We start from the raw sequence: 18,387 nt of genomic DNA on the forward strand, positions 1-18,387 counted from the left end.
AACATGAGCTGATAAAAGCTTATTTAGGCTGGGCAGGGTGGCTCATGCCTGTAATTCGAACACTTTGTGAGGCCGAGGTGGGAGGATCACTTGAGGTTAGGAGTTCAAGACCAACCTGGCTAAAATTGTGAACCCCTATCCCTACTAAAAATACAAAAAATTAGCTGAACCTGGTGTTGCATGCCTGTAGTCTCAGCTATTCGGGAGGATGAGGCAGGAGAGTCGCTTGAACTGGGGTGGCAGAGGTTGCAGTGAGCCGAGATTGTGCCACTGCACTCCATCCTGGGTGACAGAGTGAGACTCCATCTCAGAAAAAAAAAGTTTATCTAGGACATTGTCACACTCAGATCAGTAGTCAATCTAAATAACTGCCCGTATTTGGTACAAATCTGGTTTATAGCAAAATAGTACTCCCCAGAGTAACTACTGTTAACAGTTTTTATCCTATAACCTTTGTCTTTTCTTAAATGGGCATATCGTATAATCTTTGTCTTTTCTTAAAAGAGCATATCTAGATTTACAAAAGAAAACACACTGCCTTTCACTTAATAATATAACAATAATCATTTTGAGTAACAACAATGAATAAGAATATGAAGGTTATTTTTAGAAAATATTTAAAATAGATAACTATACATATTAAGTATCATAACACTGTACCATATATTAATAAAATATTTTCAAATGTTAAAACTCAACCTAAAGATAGTTTTATTTCCATTTTCTAAGTATAAAAATTTAAATGTGAAGTATTAATAGGTAACAATAGGAGCAGGAGGAGACTGAAAATGTATAAAATTACCTGTGCAACTGCTCTACATGCTAAAAATGTTTTAAAATCAAACCAAAACAGCCTTCAAGGCACATAGTAAATCATATATCTCACTCTAGGATAGAAACTAAACTAGAGCCAAAAGATGTGATTTACTGCCAGCATTTCCAGATTCCCCCACATCCTTCACTACACTGTATAATGGTAGGATTTCATCTGGTAACTGTTCTAAATTCTCACCTAAACTTTTTTTCTGCCTAGAATGATATTATCTTTCAAATTACACTCTAGAAGAATTCATCACTCTGACAATGTATCATTAATCAAAGTAAAGAGGGTTGATATTTTATAGCATTTTGGAATGGATGGCACCTTGTAGAAGTTAAAGCCCAAGAATAAAAGTTTTAGTTTAGTTAGAAAAATGATATACTTTATGGTATAGTCAGTGCTTCAAAATTCTAACTACCATCATCATCCAAAACTCTGGCTATCCAGCAATAAATATTAATAATCATGTTGACATAGCCATATCTCCTTAAGTGATCCAGAAGTTCCAGATCAAAAAAAAAAAAGTTCACACATAGTTTAGACCTGTATTACTTTGCAAGTTTGAGGGGGAAAGGAATGAGAATGTCTCCTTTCCTAGTGTTAACTTGCATTGATTTTTCAGTCACAAAATTTTAGAAGAGATTTATTGTAACCACAGCCTTGAATTAAAAACTGAAAACTCTAAACTCTGCAGAAGAGTTCTGTTATTTTATTTGAGTTTGTTAGACAAAGTGATATAGAGGTAGAGAGAGAGATACACACATATACACACAGAGAGAAAAAATTGTGTTATAGCAGAACTCAAGTAACATAAACTTATTGGTTGCAGTGATTGTTCGATATGATTGGAACTTGGAAGGCTTTATTTACAAAATCATTTCAGGATGATCAAGTTATGGACTAATGGGAATTTTAAAATTGTTATATATATTCTATAAATCTTTTTTTGGCCTGGCTTTTGAGAAAACACTTCCTTCTCATATCAAGAATATTTCAAAGTACAATCTGTTCTGATTTCTTTGATGTGAATTACCTCATATGCAGTCGGTAAATAGGGCAATGATGTCTGTATTAACTCCAGAGTGTTATTGATTCTTAAGGTTTTTTTCCCAACGTGTTATTGTTTTGAAGCAATCAGGGGCAAGCTTTCTTACAACTAAAGCCAAAATCTTAACAACATATGAAAACCATAAGAAAAAAACCTGAAAAATATATAAAAATGCCTCCCCTTAGCTTAAGTTCTGACTGTTTTAGGGACTTCAACAACCCTGCATTTCACTAAGTTAAGCCATCTAGAAAAACTATGAGCACAAAGAAGCTGTAAAGACACCTCCTCTGACTTTAAAGCAACAGATAAATAAAGGAGGCTATATCTTGATTTAGATTTTTCATTTTGGTAAAAATAATCTCTCTTAGAAGTGAATTACTACTGGGAACTACATCACCAAGAAGTAAGAACAAGTCCTCAAGAAGTATGCATTAGTGTTTTAACTAGGATTTGTTAACTGTTTTTGTTTGGGTTTTGGTTACAAAGCACCATAGGATTTGAGTGGCCTTCTCCTAGCCCTAATCTTCCCTCAAGCCCTGTTAATTAGGTGGGCAATTTTCCAAATGAGAAATGGTTTGTTTGTTTTGTTTTTATTTTAAGTTCCAGGATACATGTGCAGAATGTACAGGTTTGTTACATAGGTGTACGTGTGCCATGGTGGTTTGCTGCACCTCTCAACCCATCATCTAGGTTTTAAGCCCTGCATGCATTAGGTATTTGTCCTAATGTTCTCCCTCTCCTTGCCTCTCACGCGTCGAAAGGCTCCGGTGTGTGTTGTTTCATTCCCTGTGTCCATGTGTTCTCATTGTTCAACTCCCACTTATGAGTGAGAGTTGATTGGTTTTCTGTTCCTGTGTTAGTTTGCTGAGAATGATGGTTTCCGGCTTCTTCCATCAAGAATCATATACCGTGTTGTGGCAGCAACACATGTATACTGAAGAATTATGCTTTAATTTATGGTAAAACAAACTCTTTTATTAGAAGTCATCAAAACATTTGCTAAAGTTTATTTATCCAAAGAAACCTGTACAGATTATTTTGCCAGGATATTTCTATTTACACATTACATGGAATACATTGCACTATGAGTATGAGGATCCTATTATCTAAAATTGATAATAACAAATTAGACTAAATCTCTCTAAGTTTGGAGCTATAAGGAAATTACTACACCAAGTAGATAAATTATTCATATTATCATAGACCTAACTACATCAAGCAGGTACTAGTTACACCAAGCAAATAAATTCCTCAAAGTATCATAGACCTATGGCAGGATGCAATAAACCCATCAAATTTCCACTTAGTAAAAATATCTTTGCAAAATAAAAGTAATTTTCATATAAAAAATACATAATTTTGAACATCTTAATCCATTAAACAAGAATGAAAAAGGTGAGCATTATCTCTCAATTTTTTTACATTATTAAAATATGTTTTATATTCTTAAAGCAAACTATTATTTTACCTTTCTTATGGGTCCTTCTTTATAGATAGTCTTAGACCAAATTTATTCCCTGAAAATAGGCTTTATCATAGTCAAGTCTGAATTCTCGCTGAAAATTAAAGGAAGCTATCCATAAATGATTGGATCAAAGTTTTCATCTACTGTTAGAATCAAAAGAAAGGGTTGGGGGGTGCAGGGGAGTAAACTTTGGGCCAACTGGAAAAGGTAGAGAAGCAAAGGGAAGAAATTTGTATATAGAAGACAACTGGAAAAGAAAAAAAAATTTGAGGAAAAGCCCCCATCTAAATACATAGAGAAACAGGAGGAAAATAAATATTTATTAGATGAAATAAAATTGCAATGGAAGAACTAACAGCAGAATCATGTTCTTAAATCCTGTTCTGCTCATCATATTTCTAAAAACAGATATGGTATTTGCAAGAGTAGTGGTACAGAAATATCAAGGGTATAAAAAACTACTTATTGCAAGCTAGATAGAAATCAAATCCTGCAAATGTGAAATTCATGTGGCTGAAATTTATTGCTTATTCCAACATCATGTAAGTATTACTTTAAGTAGTTCTTAAAAGACTGTTAGATTAACCTTTCCTCTAAAGGTCTGATTTCTATCTGGTTTTATTAATTAAAGATTTATGTATTATTATTCCTCCTTGACCCATAGAGTGGCAAAAAAAGCAAAGACCTGGACACATGCTCCTGCTTATGAATGCACCTTATTATTTAATAGATAGATTAAATAAAACTGGACTCAATATATAGTACTTTATAAAATAACATGAAATCTGGACTCAGTTTGGACTCAATATTTAGTACTTTATAAAATAACACGAAAATAATGAAATAAAACACATCAAATCCAGTTAAAATATTTTAAAATAAGACAACATATAAATGGAATAGCTGAAAAAGTAACATATTGTCAAAAAAGTTTAAAGCACCTGGTCTCAGGAAACATAACAACATTGGATTTTGGTTAAATAACTGTGCCTTTCAATTTTCATTACACTACAAAATTCTACTTAGAAAGCAATCTCAAAAGTGAGACAGAATAGCAAAAACAAAATAACATAAGAAACTCACACCTGTAATTTTGCTTTCTATTTGCAGTTTTGATGCCATATAATTATGCACTATATTAATTATCTTAGCAAGTACTTGCAATTTTTTTCAACTAATATTACAAGTATGTTGCATCCAGATGAGTTAACTGCTTTCAGCAATTGTTCATATTTGAGCTACACAAGGAAGAAATTGTATATGCAATGAAATGGATAACATTTTTAGGCATAACAGAATAAACTTACTAACAAATAGCAACAAAATTTGTCATATTTGGTTTTTAAATATAGTATTGCTGTTACATCACAATTAGATAATTCGTATCCCATAAAGACCAATGAACATAACGTATATTACAGCAAGCAAAACTACTGTAAAATTTGTCAGATTCCATGAAAAAAATCATGAGCTCATTTGAGCTACATAAGGAAGAAATTTCATATGAAATGAAATGAATAACATCTTTAGGTATAGAAGAATAAACTTACTAACAAGTAGCAATCAATAATTTGTTACATTTGGTTTTTAAATATAGTATTGCTGTTATATGACAATTAGATAATTGGTATCCCATAAAGACCAATGAACATAACATATAGCAAACAAACTACTGTAAAAATTTGTCAGGTTCCATGAAAGAAATCATGAGATAACATAGGTAGCACCTGCAAATTACAAAAGTCCCTCAAATATTCTGCATCAACATGATTGACTAAAGGTTCAGACAGTGGGTTAGACTAATGATCTTTATGGTCCCCTCCAAAATTGAGATTCTATTATCCTCTATGTGTGAATAAATTGGAAGACTGTATTTTTATATATACTCTGATAAATTGAGCTCTAAAACTTTTACTGTATGGGTTTTTAAAATACAAAACCATTCCAAAATATGTGTAACCATAATGCTTTTAAAAAAACACCCCTACATGCATCCATCTGTATTATTAACCGTAGGTACCATGTTGTACAACAGGTACCCAGAACTCATTTATATTGCTAACTTTAACTTTCTACCCATTGAACAATATCTATTTTCCCTATCCACTAACTACCACTATTCTAATTTCTGCTTCTATAAATTTGACTGTTTAAAATATCTCATATAAGCAGAGTTATGTAGTATTTGTCCTTCTGTAACTTACTTATTTCAATTATCATAATATCTTTCTGGTCCATGGTAAGTGTTATTACCACAAAAAAAAAAAAACAACAAGGGACACAGGAAACTTTTGGAGGTGATGGATGGATGTATTACCATTATTCTGGTGATGATATAATGGGTATATGTACATGTCCAAATCCATCAAATTGTGTACATTAAAGATGTGCAGTTTTTATCTACCAATTATACCTCAATAGAGCTGTAATAAAAAAGAAAACAGCCCTCAACACAAAATTAATCTTTTTGTTAATCCTTTGGACTCATCATTAATATTACATTGTTTTCTGGGCTTTAAATGTAGATAATATAGGAATGGGATTGAATTTCTACTAATACTGTATCCTGACTGATAAAACCTAATGGATGGAGCACCTTCTATGAGCAGAATATTTTTATAATTGTTGGCATTTAATGTGATTTTCACAATAGCCCTGCAAGCTTCTGAGCTTGCATATATAAATATGATCTTTCAAAATTTCCTCAGCATAAACATCACAGAAATACTCACCTCTCCCTTTAAGGTTGATTCATGCCATCTCTGGGTTAAGCCCCTGTACTGCCACTACCCTCTCTACTGTGTCAGTTGCTCTGTCATTTGCTGCTGTAATATACTCACTAAGCCACTTACATTCTCCCAACTCTTCATTAACTCTAATTTCCATTCTCCCTACCCCTTTCAATTGTCTTTATTTCCCCTTCCCTAGCTTTTCTTAGAACTGGCATCTAAAAGTAATTAGCACAGATATAACTTCACTAAAGTGCAGGCTACTGAACTGTCCCACATCCAGGTCTTCGAAAAATTCTTGTCAAAATTTATCCCAGGAAGATATACAAATGGCCACCAAGCACATGAAAAGATGTTTGACATCATTAGTCATCAAAATGCAAACCAAACCACGATGTGCTACTGCTTCATATTACTAGGATGTTAGACCAAAAAGTCAGATAATAACAAGTGGTGGCTAGGAGGTAGAGAAATCAGAACTCTTGTACATGGCTGATTGGAATGCAATATACTGCAGCCACTTTGAAAAACAGTCTTGCAGTTCCTCAAACAATTAAAAATGGAGTTACCATATGACCCAGCAATTCCACCAGTAGGTATCTAGCCAAGATAACTAAAAACATATGGCCACAAAAAACTTGTACACAAATGTTCATGGCAGCATTACTTATAATAGCCAAAAGGTGGAAACAACCCGAATATCCATCAAATGATGAATGAATAAACAAAATATGCTATATCAAACAATGAAATGTTATTCAACCTTAAAAATAAATGAAATGCTGATAGATGGCACAACATGGATGAACATTGAAAACGTTATGCAAGTAAAAGAAGCCACTCATAAAAGGCCACATATGACATGATTCTATTTATATGAAATGTCCAGAATAGGCTAATCTAGAGAGAGAGAAAGGAGTATTGGTCCCGAGAATATAGGGAGATAGGAGGAGGATGGAGCAAAAGGGTATGGGGTTTCTTTTTGAGGTGACAAAAATGTTCTAAAGTCAATTATGCTAATAGTTTCACTTAGCAGTAACCATACTAAAATTCATTGAATTGTGCACTTCAAATGAATGAATTGTGTGGTATATGAATTATATCGCAATAATGCTGTTCTTAAAAACTTTTTGTCAATGATTCCTGGACAAGTGTTTTTCATTTGTCTTTTGGCTATCCCAACATTCTATGTTTCAAATTCTGACTCATCAAGGACTTAAATGCCATGCTCACCAGAGTCTGCCTGTGTTAACTAAACCTTTAAAATCTCAAGACTGCTATCAAATCCTCTTGGCATCAGTCTATTCAGAAGGATGAGGACAGGAATAACAGTTTGCCAGCAGGACAGCATCAGCTGTTCCTTTTTGGTGGTATTCTTGCAGGAGTTCAAGCAGAAGTACAGTTCAGGTAGATAAGGAATACACCTGATTTAGAAACCTTACTTTCCACCAGAGCCAATCCCCACCTCATAGCTCCAGAGCTAGTTCCATAGTGGAATGTTTCAGTTACAAAGCCCACTGCACTCAGGGAGCTATATCTTCCTTCAAGTATGTATAGTTCTCCTTGTTTAGATGTAATTTGCCAAGTAGAGGTTACACTTACCATAAGTATGTTGCCTAGGAATGTAGTTGACATGACTACCTTTATCTGTTTCCCAGGGAAAGGGCGAGAAAGTTAATTAAAGGTCAAATGCTCACATTTAGGAGGAAAAGCTTTTGTTAACCCTTCACTGATATAACAACTTAACATACCATAAATCCTTTTAATTATCCAATCCTTGGTTAAAAATTCCCTTGCTTTCAAAATTCAGAGAAAAATAAATTTTGCCCTAAAATACAGTTTTACGCTATTTCAGGAGCTTAATCAAACCACTAAGGACTCATTCACATTTCTATTTGTTAAAAAATTGATTTATACAGCACAGGTACAATGTTAAGCACTGAGGATACAGTGATGAACAAGACAAAAAAGAGTCCTTCTCACAAGGTCCTAAAATTTATCAGAAGATATGATAGTCGATAGCAACATGGTTTTTAAAATCTTTTGATAGAAGAAATGCCAGGTGATAACAATCATTGAAGGGAATGAACATGCACTTGTAGTATAAGGAATATGCATTATTCATATTTAAGAAATAAGTTAAAAATATGACAATACTCAATTGTTCACATACATTTAAAATATTTTATTTTTCTTAAGTATAACATTAATACTTACAAATAGAAAATTCATACATTTTTTCAAAATATTTACATACCTGGACTCTAAAATCATGTGACTTTATGATAATTCCTTTTTTGGGAGAACATTTACTTGTCATCCACATATTTCAATCTTATTGGTAACTCTGAGAGAAGGAACTGCGTTTCTCAACTCTGCCCCTTCTGTGGTCTCCCATCAAGCTACCATTATTGACTTTCTTCACATAACTAGAAAAAACTACTTTAAATTTCATATGGAACCAAGAAAGAGCCCATATAACCAAGACAATCCTAAGCAAAAAGAACAAAGCTGGAGGCATCACGCTACCTGACTTCAAGCTACACTACAAGGCTACAGTAACCAAAACTGCATGGAAATTCTACCTCAATTATCTTTTCTTTCATTAATACCACCCACCTTCCCAAGGTTTCTCCTTTTCAGTTAAGAAAATTTCCATTCCAATTAAGAAAATGTATTTACCATAATCTATTAATAATTTACTTAAACTAACCCCCCTTGTGCATGTCATACTTCACAAATAGAATGCTTTTTGTTTGTTTTCCCTCATCTTCTATTCTCTCTAATTAACATTGTCTCTTCTGTCTGATCTTACGTTGCTAAAAGGAAATAGGAATGCCTGATATATTAAGACCTCATTTCTCATCTGAAAATAACTTTTGTTTCAACCCTTAGTGTTGACAATCTTTCTACATGTAGAAGTAAAATTTTAATCCTTAATAATTGCCTCTCATGCATTTATGCCTCATTTTTCAGTTAATTAAATATTTAACAGAGGTTGGAAAAGGCAAAGAAACTTGAAGTGTTTTGAATCACTGCCAAGTACAAATCAATCATAAATCAAAGGAAAGGCCCTTTGAAATTACAACACTAGTCAACATGTAAATATTTGCCTTCAATTTTTCAGAGATCGTAAGTAAAACAAGGTATGCTGATACAAAATGATCCATACTGACTAAACTCACAGGACCTACTGGGCTGTTGGATAAAGGCTGAAACAGTTTACAACTATCAAATTTGGCTACACTTTATATTAACCACAAATGACAGCACAGGTTAAAGAATATAAAGTGTAATCACCGTCAGCCTAGAATACTTGCTTTTTATATAGCAATGCTTAATATTCATCTGTCGGATGTCTTCCCTAACTTCTCAAATTAGGAATGGATTCAGCAGTCAACAAAGCCTTATGACTTTAATGGTTAACAATAAAAAACAAAAACCACTACAAGATTGGTTAGTGAGAGCTAAGAAAAAGAGATATCTGACCAAATGGCCATCAAAGCCAAAGCACAACAACAACAACAAAAACTTTATGCATAGGAAAATGATAAAAACAATAAGACAAAAAAGCATGTTGACTGAAAAAAGAAGTGAAAGGTTAAACAGAGACTAGAGATAGAAAGAAAATGGCAGAGAGCTACAAGACAATTGATTAAAATCAAGAAATGATGACAGAGAATGGGCAAGACCAGAATAAAGGAGAAAAATTAAGTACTAATCAGAATAGTGAATTTCTGAGGGGGAATATATCATCATAAACACTATATCAGCTATTTGAGGCCTCTTTCTTATTCTATTTCTTATAATAAAGGTGGTTATTATAACAGGCATGAGTCACTCACACATAGTGAAACTGTTCACTGTGCTCTATTTACAGGAGGGAGTACGTAGTACAATTTGAAATAGTTTCTTTCAAAAAACATCTATCTAATTTATTTATTATTGTATATATTTAAAGTATACAAACATGTACATGATGTTTTGGTATGCATGTACATGCACATGACATACATATACATGTAAAATGATAACTACCATTGAGCATATTAACATATCCATCACCTCACACAGTTGCTTCTTTTTAGTACTAAAAGCACCTATGTATAAAAAATGGAATATTATTCAGCCTTTAAAAAGAAGATATGTTTAACTATGACAGCATAGATAAACCTGGAGGACATTACAGTAAATGAAATAAGCCAGACACAGAAAGAAAAATACTACATGAAACCACATACATGCAGAATCCAAATTTTTTTTAAAAACTTTTCATTTAAAATTTTTGTTTTATGAATAAAGGGACAAATTCGCTTTAAGAATTAGCTGAACAAAAAAGCTGTCTCCTTCAAAGTACTTTATTCCTTAGTAATTCCGTTAGGTGAAATAATGTTATAAAAAAGAGAATAACATCATTATAGGTTTAGCTCCCAGCACAGGAAGTCTGTGTATGCTCTTTGCTAAGTGCCAACCTCACAATTCCACTTCCCTAGTAGACAATACACTTCCTAGGACTCTCCCCAACAGCAGCACCAAGTAGCAACTTTGGTCTCCACAGATGGTGTGGAAACATAAAGGAGTAACATGAACAAGGAAGAGACATAGTTCTTTATTGTATTTAACTTTAAATTTATATACATAAAAGAATCCCAATATTTGAAGAAACCTTTAAAAGAATCATAGTTCCTTGCCAAGCTCTTTGATTTGTGTACATATTATGTAATCCATGTATGCTAACTTTTAGAGATAAATGTATATTCTACAATGAGATTTATTAGGAACTTAAATACCATTTTACTATTTGTGGCTTACCAACCTTCCCTCCTCTGCAATCAAAACCAAAGAATGTGATGCTGGCAGTATCTTAAGTGTTCTTACCATGAAAGAAGGAAAGAGAGAAAGAGAGAAAAAGAAGGAAAGATGAAAGAAGGAAGGAAGGAAGGAAGCAAGGGAGGGAGGAGGGAAGGAAGGGAGGGAGGGAGGGTGGAAGGGAAGGAAGGAAGGAAGGAAGGAAGGAAGGAAAGAAGAAAGAGAGAAAGAAAGAGAAAGAAAGAAAGAAAGAAAGAAAGAAAGAAAGAAAGAAAGAAAGAAAGAAAGAAAAAAAAGAAAAGAAAAGAAGAAGGAGGGAGGGAGAGGAGAGAGAGAAAGAGAAGAGGGAGAGAGAAAGAGAGAGAAGGAGAGAAAGAGGAAAGAAAGAAAGAGAGAGAAGGAAAGAAAGAGAGGAAATTGTGATGTAATGTGAAGTGATAGAAACATTCATTATGTTGAATTTGGAGACTATTTCAAAATGTGTATCTATATATATGTCAAAACATCAAATTATGCACCTTAATTGTACACATTTTTTATTTGTCAATTATGGCTCAATAAAGATAGAAAGGGAGTAGAGAGAGTCTGTAGATTGCCATACATGTTCTGTGCAAAAGAACTATGTAACCCGAAGGAAGTTATACAAAAGAAACAGTAAACATACTATATATATATGAAGTGTATATTCGGTAGATATTTTCTCACTAATTTAATCCAATCTACATTTGGAATTTTACAAATTTCCAACCTACAATGATCACTTTCTTCTGTTAAGATACAGGATACATACACTTTAATAATATTAACAAAACAAAATAATGCTCAACGTTTAGAAAGCATACTGTATGCCATGTTGCTTTCAGTAATTATTTGACTGGTGTCGTATCTGCATCTGGATCACAATAAGCCATATCACAGCAAAGTCTATCTTTTGAAATTATGTGGGAGGGAGAGGAGAAGACAGGGAGGGAGAGAGAGCAAGAAGAAGAAAATCAAATTTGGATAAATCTTGAAGCTCAGATACTGAAGAAATGGAGCCATGTCTCATTGTTCTTTGTATCTCCTACAACAGCTAGCACAGGGCTTAACGTCACTGAGTGATAACTCAGAAAATGTGCTCAATAAATCATTGAATGAAAAATTCCTAATATGAACTCATCTGTGATAATTTTGTTACAGTATTTATCTACAAAGTAGAATGCCTTTTGTTAAATTCTATATTATTCATATATTAACAATTAGACTCACTTCTGTATCAATTAATTTTCATTTCTTATGACTATCTGATTGTAATACCATGAGAGAGAGAAGTAGCAGGTTGGTTTTTGTTTTTTTCTCCCTGCATCCTTTCTGCCCAGAAGCGCTAAACATTGAGTGGTCACTCAAAAGTCACTGACTTTGGTGAATATTAGTTAGGTATATTTTACATTTTGTGGTTATCATTATTTGGGTCATCAGCACCCTTGATGGCTACTGATATTTATTAGCATGTTCAGGTAAACGCAAAGATTGAAATCTACCAGTAATCTTTCTAAACACAGATCTGATTATCTCTATTCCTTTGCCTACAGATAATATTAAAACCCTTAACTAATTAGGAGTAGGATCCTACCATTATTCATCTCTATAAGGTCACAGCCTAGCACATACCCTGCCTTCTAGAAAGTACTCAATAAATATTTGTTGAATAAATTACTATAAAATGAATAAAATCTATGACAAAGCAATGCATCATTAACTGTAACTAGTGTAATGCCATGTCTATATCTAATTCTATTTATAGTTTAAGTATTAGAATCTTAAAGCCACTTGACAGGGTTTGAGTTTAGGCATTTCCAAAATCAATGATTATATAAGGATAAACAAAAGGTCCTTATATGTACAGAAGGAAAAATAGAAACCTGAGAGATAAGCGTTCCTAAATAATAATGGGCAAAGATAAATAAGAACTAATTTTTAAATAAACTTGAAAACATAAGAGATTTATACCTAAAAACTATAGAAATAATATTTAAAATAACCTATGTGTTCATTTGAAATCACAATAGATAAAATATTTTCTAATTTTTAAGTGTCAAGTTCACAGTCAGAATACATAATCTGAAGACTCTAAGCTGTTTCTGCAACTACGTTAAAACAGTTTAAATAGTAAAATAGAGTCTAGATTAGTATTCAATAAAATAATTTAAAAATATGCATCAGGATTGTCTGTATATAATAGAATTTTAGAAATTAGCGTAAATCATCCTGAGTTCTAGATAACTAAAGACATTTTAAATGTCTTTATGTGGAAACATTTTATAAACACACTACAAGTAAATCATTTTAGAAAGCCATACCTGCAAAAGAGTTGTTCTGTGGAGCTTTAGTGCCCCTTTCTGGTGAACTTTAGCAAAGCATCCTGAACAATAATCTTCTCCACATTCAAGGCATACCTAAAAAGATATTTTTTAAAAAATTATACAATCTTATAAAATAGTATGATTTTTAGAAAGTGTTTGCATAAAGATGTCTTGTTTTTTAATATTTATTTCTCTAATTAAATACCTATATCATCAGAATTGAGAAGCCTGTCCCAGGCTTCTCAACTAGTCCCTTAACTGGGACTAGTTGTCCCAGTTAAGACTTAACTCTTTGAAGAAAACTAATTCGAAAACACTAATTATTCTCATATCAAAATAAATGTAGTTTTAATGTAGGTTTGGGGTGTATATTTTAGATGCATGGATGTATGCATAGTTTCTGAATAAACTATAAAACAACCAGTAGCCTCAGGTCAAACTTCTTGACCTGGTAAAAACTAAACAGCATTATCTCTGGGTGAAAACTCCTTCATTTGTATGAGTTATTTTATCTTTCTGTATGGATTTACATGACATAATTAGTTTCAAGTGATATGCATACTCTTTGCCCTCCAAAATCCCTATACACTTCCCTGGAAGGTACTCCTTTACTGGTGGTTCTCAAAGTATGGCTTTAAAATTTTTCTTACAAGCATCTCTAAAGGAAAAAAAAAAGTATAAGAAAAAAATACTAGATGGAACTACATTACCATGTCTGTAATGTTAATAACTGATAAAATGATTATGGGCAAGTTTATATTTAACTTCCAAATTATGATGTTTAAAAATGTAATTTTAAAATTGTTGGACAAGTTAAATAATGTAAAATACTCGTACCTATGATGGTGCCAAGCAAAACTGAAACTAAAGAGAAAAGGAAATGGAAATTGGATGTCAGGTTCAAGATGGATGATTAAATGCAGCTTGGGTGTGCCTTTCTATAGACAGGAGCCAAAGTATCAAGTAGATATTCACATTTCAAATAGATTGCCTGAGAGAGAACACTGGAATTCAGAAGAGAGATGATGGGAGACACCAAGGGTGAAGAAAAGAGAAACAGGGCTTCCTGCTTGGGGTCACTGGGACCTGGACCCAGGGAAGGAGTAAGTGAAGGATTTCCAATGCTCCTCATTCCTACCATGGACCTCTGCAATCCTAACTATGGAGAGATCTAGGAGCCCCATAGGCCTCCACACTGGCCTAGAGAGGTGCCTGGATATCACACAGAGGAATGGCTAGAATTCATGTGAAGTCCCATAGGCTTCCAAGTGCTGAGCAGCTGCACTAAGGTGCCATTCCTGGAGCCCATACCCCAAGGGTCTGAGTCCTGCCCAGAGACCACTGGTGCCCTTCCTGTCTGCAGGGCTGGGGAGCAAGAGGGGAAGCTGGGTGTTCTCATGCTCTGCCACTACTGATGCATGACCTGGTGCATTCAGATCAAGCACCCCATTCCTGTCAGTCTCTCCCAAAACTGTCTGCTGGCCTTTCCATTAGAGAATGTTCTGCCCTTCCTGGTTGCTGGCCCACAACATAGCCATCGCTGACCCACCAGTGTTCAGCTGGTGACCTGGGATCAGTCCACCCCTCCTTATCACAGCCAGCTAAGGGGGAGGTATATAGCATCAAATGCCTATATCAAAAAGATAGAAAGATCTCAAGGAACATAAAAAAAGAGAACAAACCAAACCCAAAGCTAGCAGAAAAAGAGAAATAACAAAGATCAGAGAAGAAATAAATAAAATTGAGCTAAAAAATGTAAAAAATCAACAAAATGAAAAATTGGGTCTTTGAAAAAATTAATGAAATTGATCGACCACTAGCTAGATTAAGAAAAATGAGAGAGGATTCAAATACGCACAATAAGATATGATAAAGGTGACATTAAAACTGATACCATAGAAATACAAAAGATCATCAGAGACTACTATGAGCATCTCCACACACAAACTAGAAAACATATAGAAAATGAATAAATTCCTGGAAACGCACAGCCTCTCAAGGTTGAAACAGGAAAAAATAGAAATCCAGAACAGACCAATATGAGTAGTGACGTTGTATCAGTAATAAAAATTTTCCCAACAACAAAAAAGCCAAGATCAGACAGATTCACAGCAAATTCTACCAGTCATAAAAAGAAAAATTGATACCAATACCACTGAAACTATTTCAAAAAAATCAAGGAGGAAATACTCCCTACTCATTCTAAGAAGCCAGGGTAACCCTGCTACCAAAGCCAGGCAAGGACACAATAAAACTTAAGAGTCCAATACCATTAATAAACATAGATACAAAAATTCTCAAAAAAAAAAAAAGCTAGCAAATTGAATCCAACAACACATCAAAAAGATACTACTCCATAATAAAGTGGGTTTTATCCAGGGGATGGGGGATGTTTCAACATATGCAAACCAATAAATGTGATTTACCACATAAATAGAATAAAAACAAAACTATATCATATCTCATTAGATGCAGAAAAAGCATTTGATAACATTCAGCATCACTCCATGATAAAAACCCTCAACGACCTAGGCACAGAAGAAACATTCACAAAATAATAAAAGTCATAAGACAACAAACCCCAGCCAACATCTTACTGAACTGGGAAGTGTCTAAAACGTTGCCCCTAACAACTAGAAAAAGACAAGGATGCCTACTTTTACCACTTCTATTCAACATAGTACTGGAATTCCTAGCCAGAACAATCAGGCAAAAGAAAGAAATAAAAGGCATCCAAATTGGAAAAGAGGAAGTCAAATTATTTATGTTTGCTAATGATGTTATCTTATGCCTAGAAAACCCTAATGGCTTCTCTGACACACTCATCAATTGATTGGATAAAGAAAATATTGTAAGATATATACCATGGAATACTACTCCACTATGAAAAAGAATGATTTTACATCTTTTACAGCAACATGAAAGGAACTAGATGGAGGCCATTATCCTAAGTGAAATAACTCATAAACAAGAAGTCAAATACTGCATGTATTACTTGTAAGTGGGAGAGCTAAACAATGGGTGTTAACTAAACACATGGACATACAGAGTAGAAAAATAGACACTGGACACTCCATACATTGGAAGGGTGGGAAAGGGGTAAAGACTGAAAAATTACATAGTGGCTATGATGTTCCCATTCAGATGATGGGTACTAAAAGCCCAGACTTCATCACTACACAATATATCCAGATAACACAACTTCACTTGTACCAACTAAATCTATAAAAATAAAAATAATAATAATAAATTATAACAGAGCAGTGATATTATATGTTTTATCTCATTTAATCCTCACAACAACTCTATAAATTTACAATCACCCTTGTATCTCCATAATGAAGAAGAGATAACAAAAGAACATAATGATGAAGAATTTGTCCAGAGTCATACAAGCTAATAGTGGTGGGGACAGGAATTCAATCCTACCATGTGGCTCAAAGCTTAAACCCTTAACCACAACAAACATTACTAATCTTTAAATTAATCATTTACAATAAACTAAAATAGTGATCAGTTACAGACACTCTTCAACTTACAATGTGGCTACTGCCCAATAAACCCATCATAAATTGAAAACATTGTAAGTTGAAAATATATTTAGTACAAATAACCTACTAAGCATCATAGCTTAGCCTAGCTAACCTTAAATGTGCTCAAAACACTTACATTAGCCTACATTTGAGCAAAATCATCTAACACAAACCTATTTTATAATAAATTGTTGAATATCTTGTGTTTTTTTTAACCTTCATGATCACATGGCTGACTATGAGCTTCCTAGCATCGTATTTTACCACATATCACTAGCCTGGGAAAATATCAGAATTCGAACTTTGAAGTATGGTTTCTACTGAATACATACTGTTTTTACACATCATAAAGTCAAAAAATTGTAAGTGAAAAATGGTAAGTCAGGGACCATTTATATCGAAAAACCTTGATAAAATCCACAATAAAATAAAATTCAGTATTTAAAAAGAATGCATGGTCTGGTATGTATCAAAATCCAAATGTATGTTTTTCAAGTGTGATTAGCTAAAAGATGATGGAATTTTTACTTAATCTGAAGAAAAAAAAACACTATCCCTAGCATAGAAACTAGTCCCCTCTTTCCATTCTTGTTTCATGAGCTTCATTCTTCTAGAGAAATGATAAAAACATTATCCTAAATCCGTAATTTTAAGTGTAAAATAAACTTTAAAACTATAATTTTATATAAATACATGGTTATATCATTATATTAATATGGATTTCAAAATATATTCTGCATAATTTTTATTTAATATAACTTGCTAATTTTAAGTGAATTTTTCCTAAACATTTGGCACTGTTTTTACACTATAATGCAGAAAACTGAAAATGAGTTTCAGCATATAATTCTAAGCCAAGTGTCTGTTAACAACATACTTTTAGTAAAAGTAGCCAAACGAATATTTGTAGACTGGAAGATCAATGCTGGACTTGCAGAGTAAGCTTATATATTTTGTTATACAAGGATATTTGGATTAAAATTGAGTTAAAATGACCTCCAATTGGAAAATCTTTTTAGGCAGTTTGTACAACTGGCAGAAACATGCTAAAAATGTAAATAAGGACTCCTTCCCACCACAGATGCTTCCTCAATGATGGAATATCCAACTGCAGTTTTAACAAATATCTTGTTAATTTGATGAATGCCAGATCAGTTGTGCTAAGCTTCAGAATCCATTTGAGTTTAATTAAATTATTCACATTTGCCAAATTAATATATAAGAAAAGTGGAACTTTTGGGCTTCGTCTTTGCCATCAATATATGTAAATGGATAGGTCATTTAAAAATTTGCCAACAACAAAACACACTGTTTATTGTCTTCCGTCTATGTGCTGGACACAATGCTAAATATTTTACATGTATTAACTCATTACGTGTGATAACTTTGAGGTACAGATTACTGTTATCCGTAGTAACCTATTTCACAAATGAGGAAACAGAGATAAAGAGGGATTAAGTCATTTGCTGAAGGTCACATAGCTAATAACAGGTAAAGTTGAGTTTCAAACTCCCAAAACACAAGCCCTTAACTCCTATCTCCCATACACAATTTTCCCTGGTGAAGGCCAAGGATATACATATATCTATATCTATATACATAGATATATATATCCTTTATATATATATTCATATATACACA

At 33.3% G+C, this 18,387-nt stretch overlaps 1 protein-coding gene across 22 annotated transcripts in view; it reads right to left on the reverse strand.

The window, feature by feature from the left end:
• The window catches only part of ZBBX (zinc finger B-box domain containing), a 229,485-nt gene that overhangs the window by 158,808 nt on the left and 52,290 nt on the right, over positions 1-18,387 (reverse strand). For all 22 annotated transcript variants that reach the window (XR_924174.3, XR_924173.2, XR_924177.3 and 19 more), the window contains one exon: positions 13,211-13,306. Coding sequence is in view for 19 of the 22 variants with exons in the window: in XM_024453753.2 (XP_024309521.1) it covers positions 13,211-13,306 (96 nt within the window). In the remaining 3 variants the exon portion in view is untranslated. The remainder of the gene's footprint in view (positions 1-13,210; positions 13,307-18,387) is intronic.

This window comes from Homo sapiens, chromosome 3 (assembly GCF_000001405.40).
Source record: "Homo sapiens chromosome 3, GRCh38.p14 Primary Assembly".
NCBI classification, from domain to species: domain Eukaryota; kingdom Metazoa; phylum Chordata; class Mammalia; order Primates; family Hominidae; genus Homo; species Homo sapiens.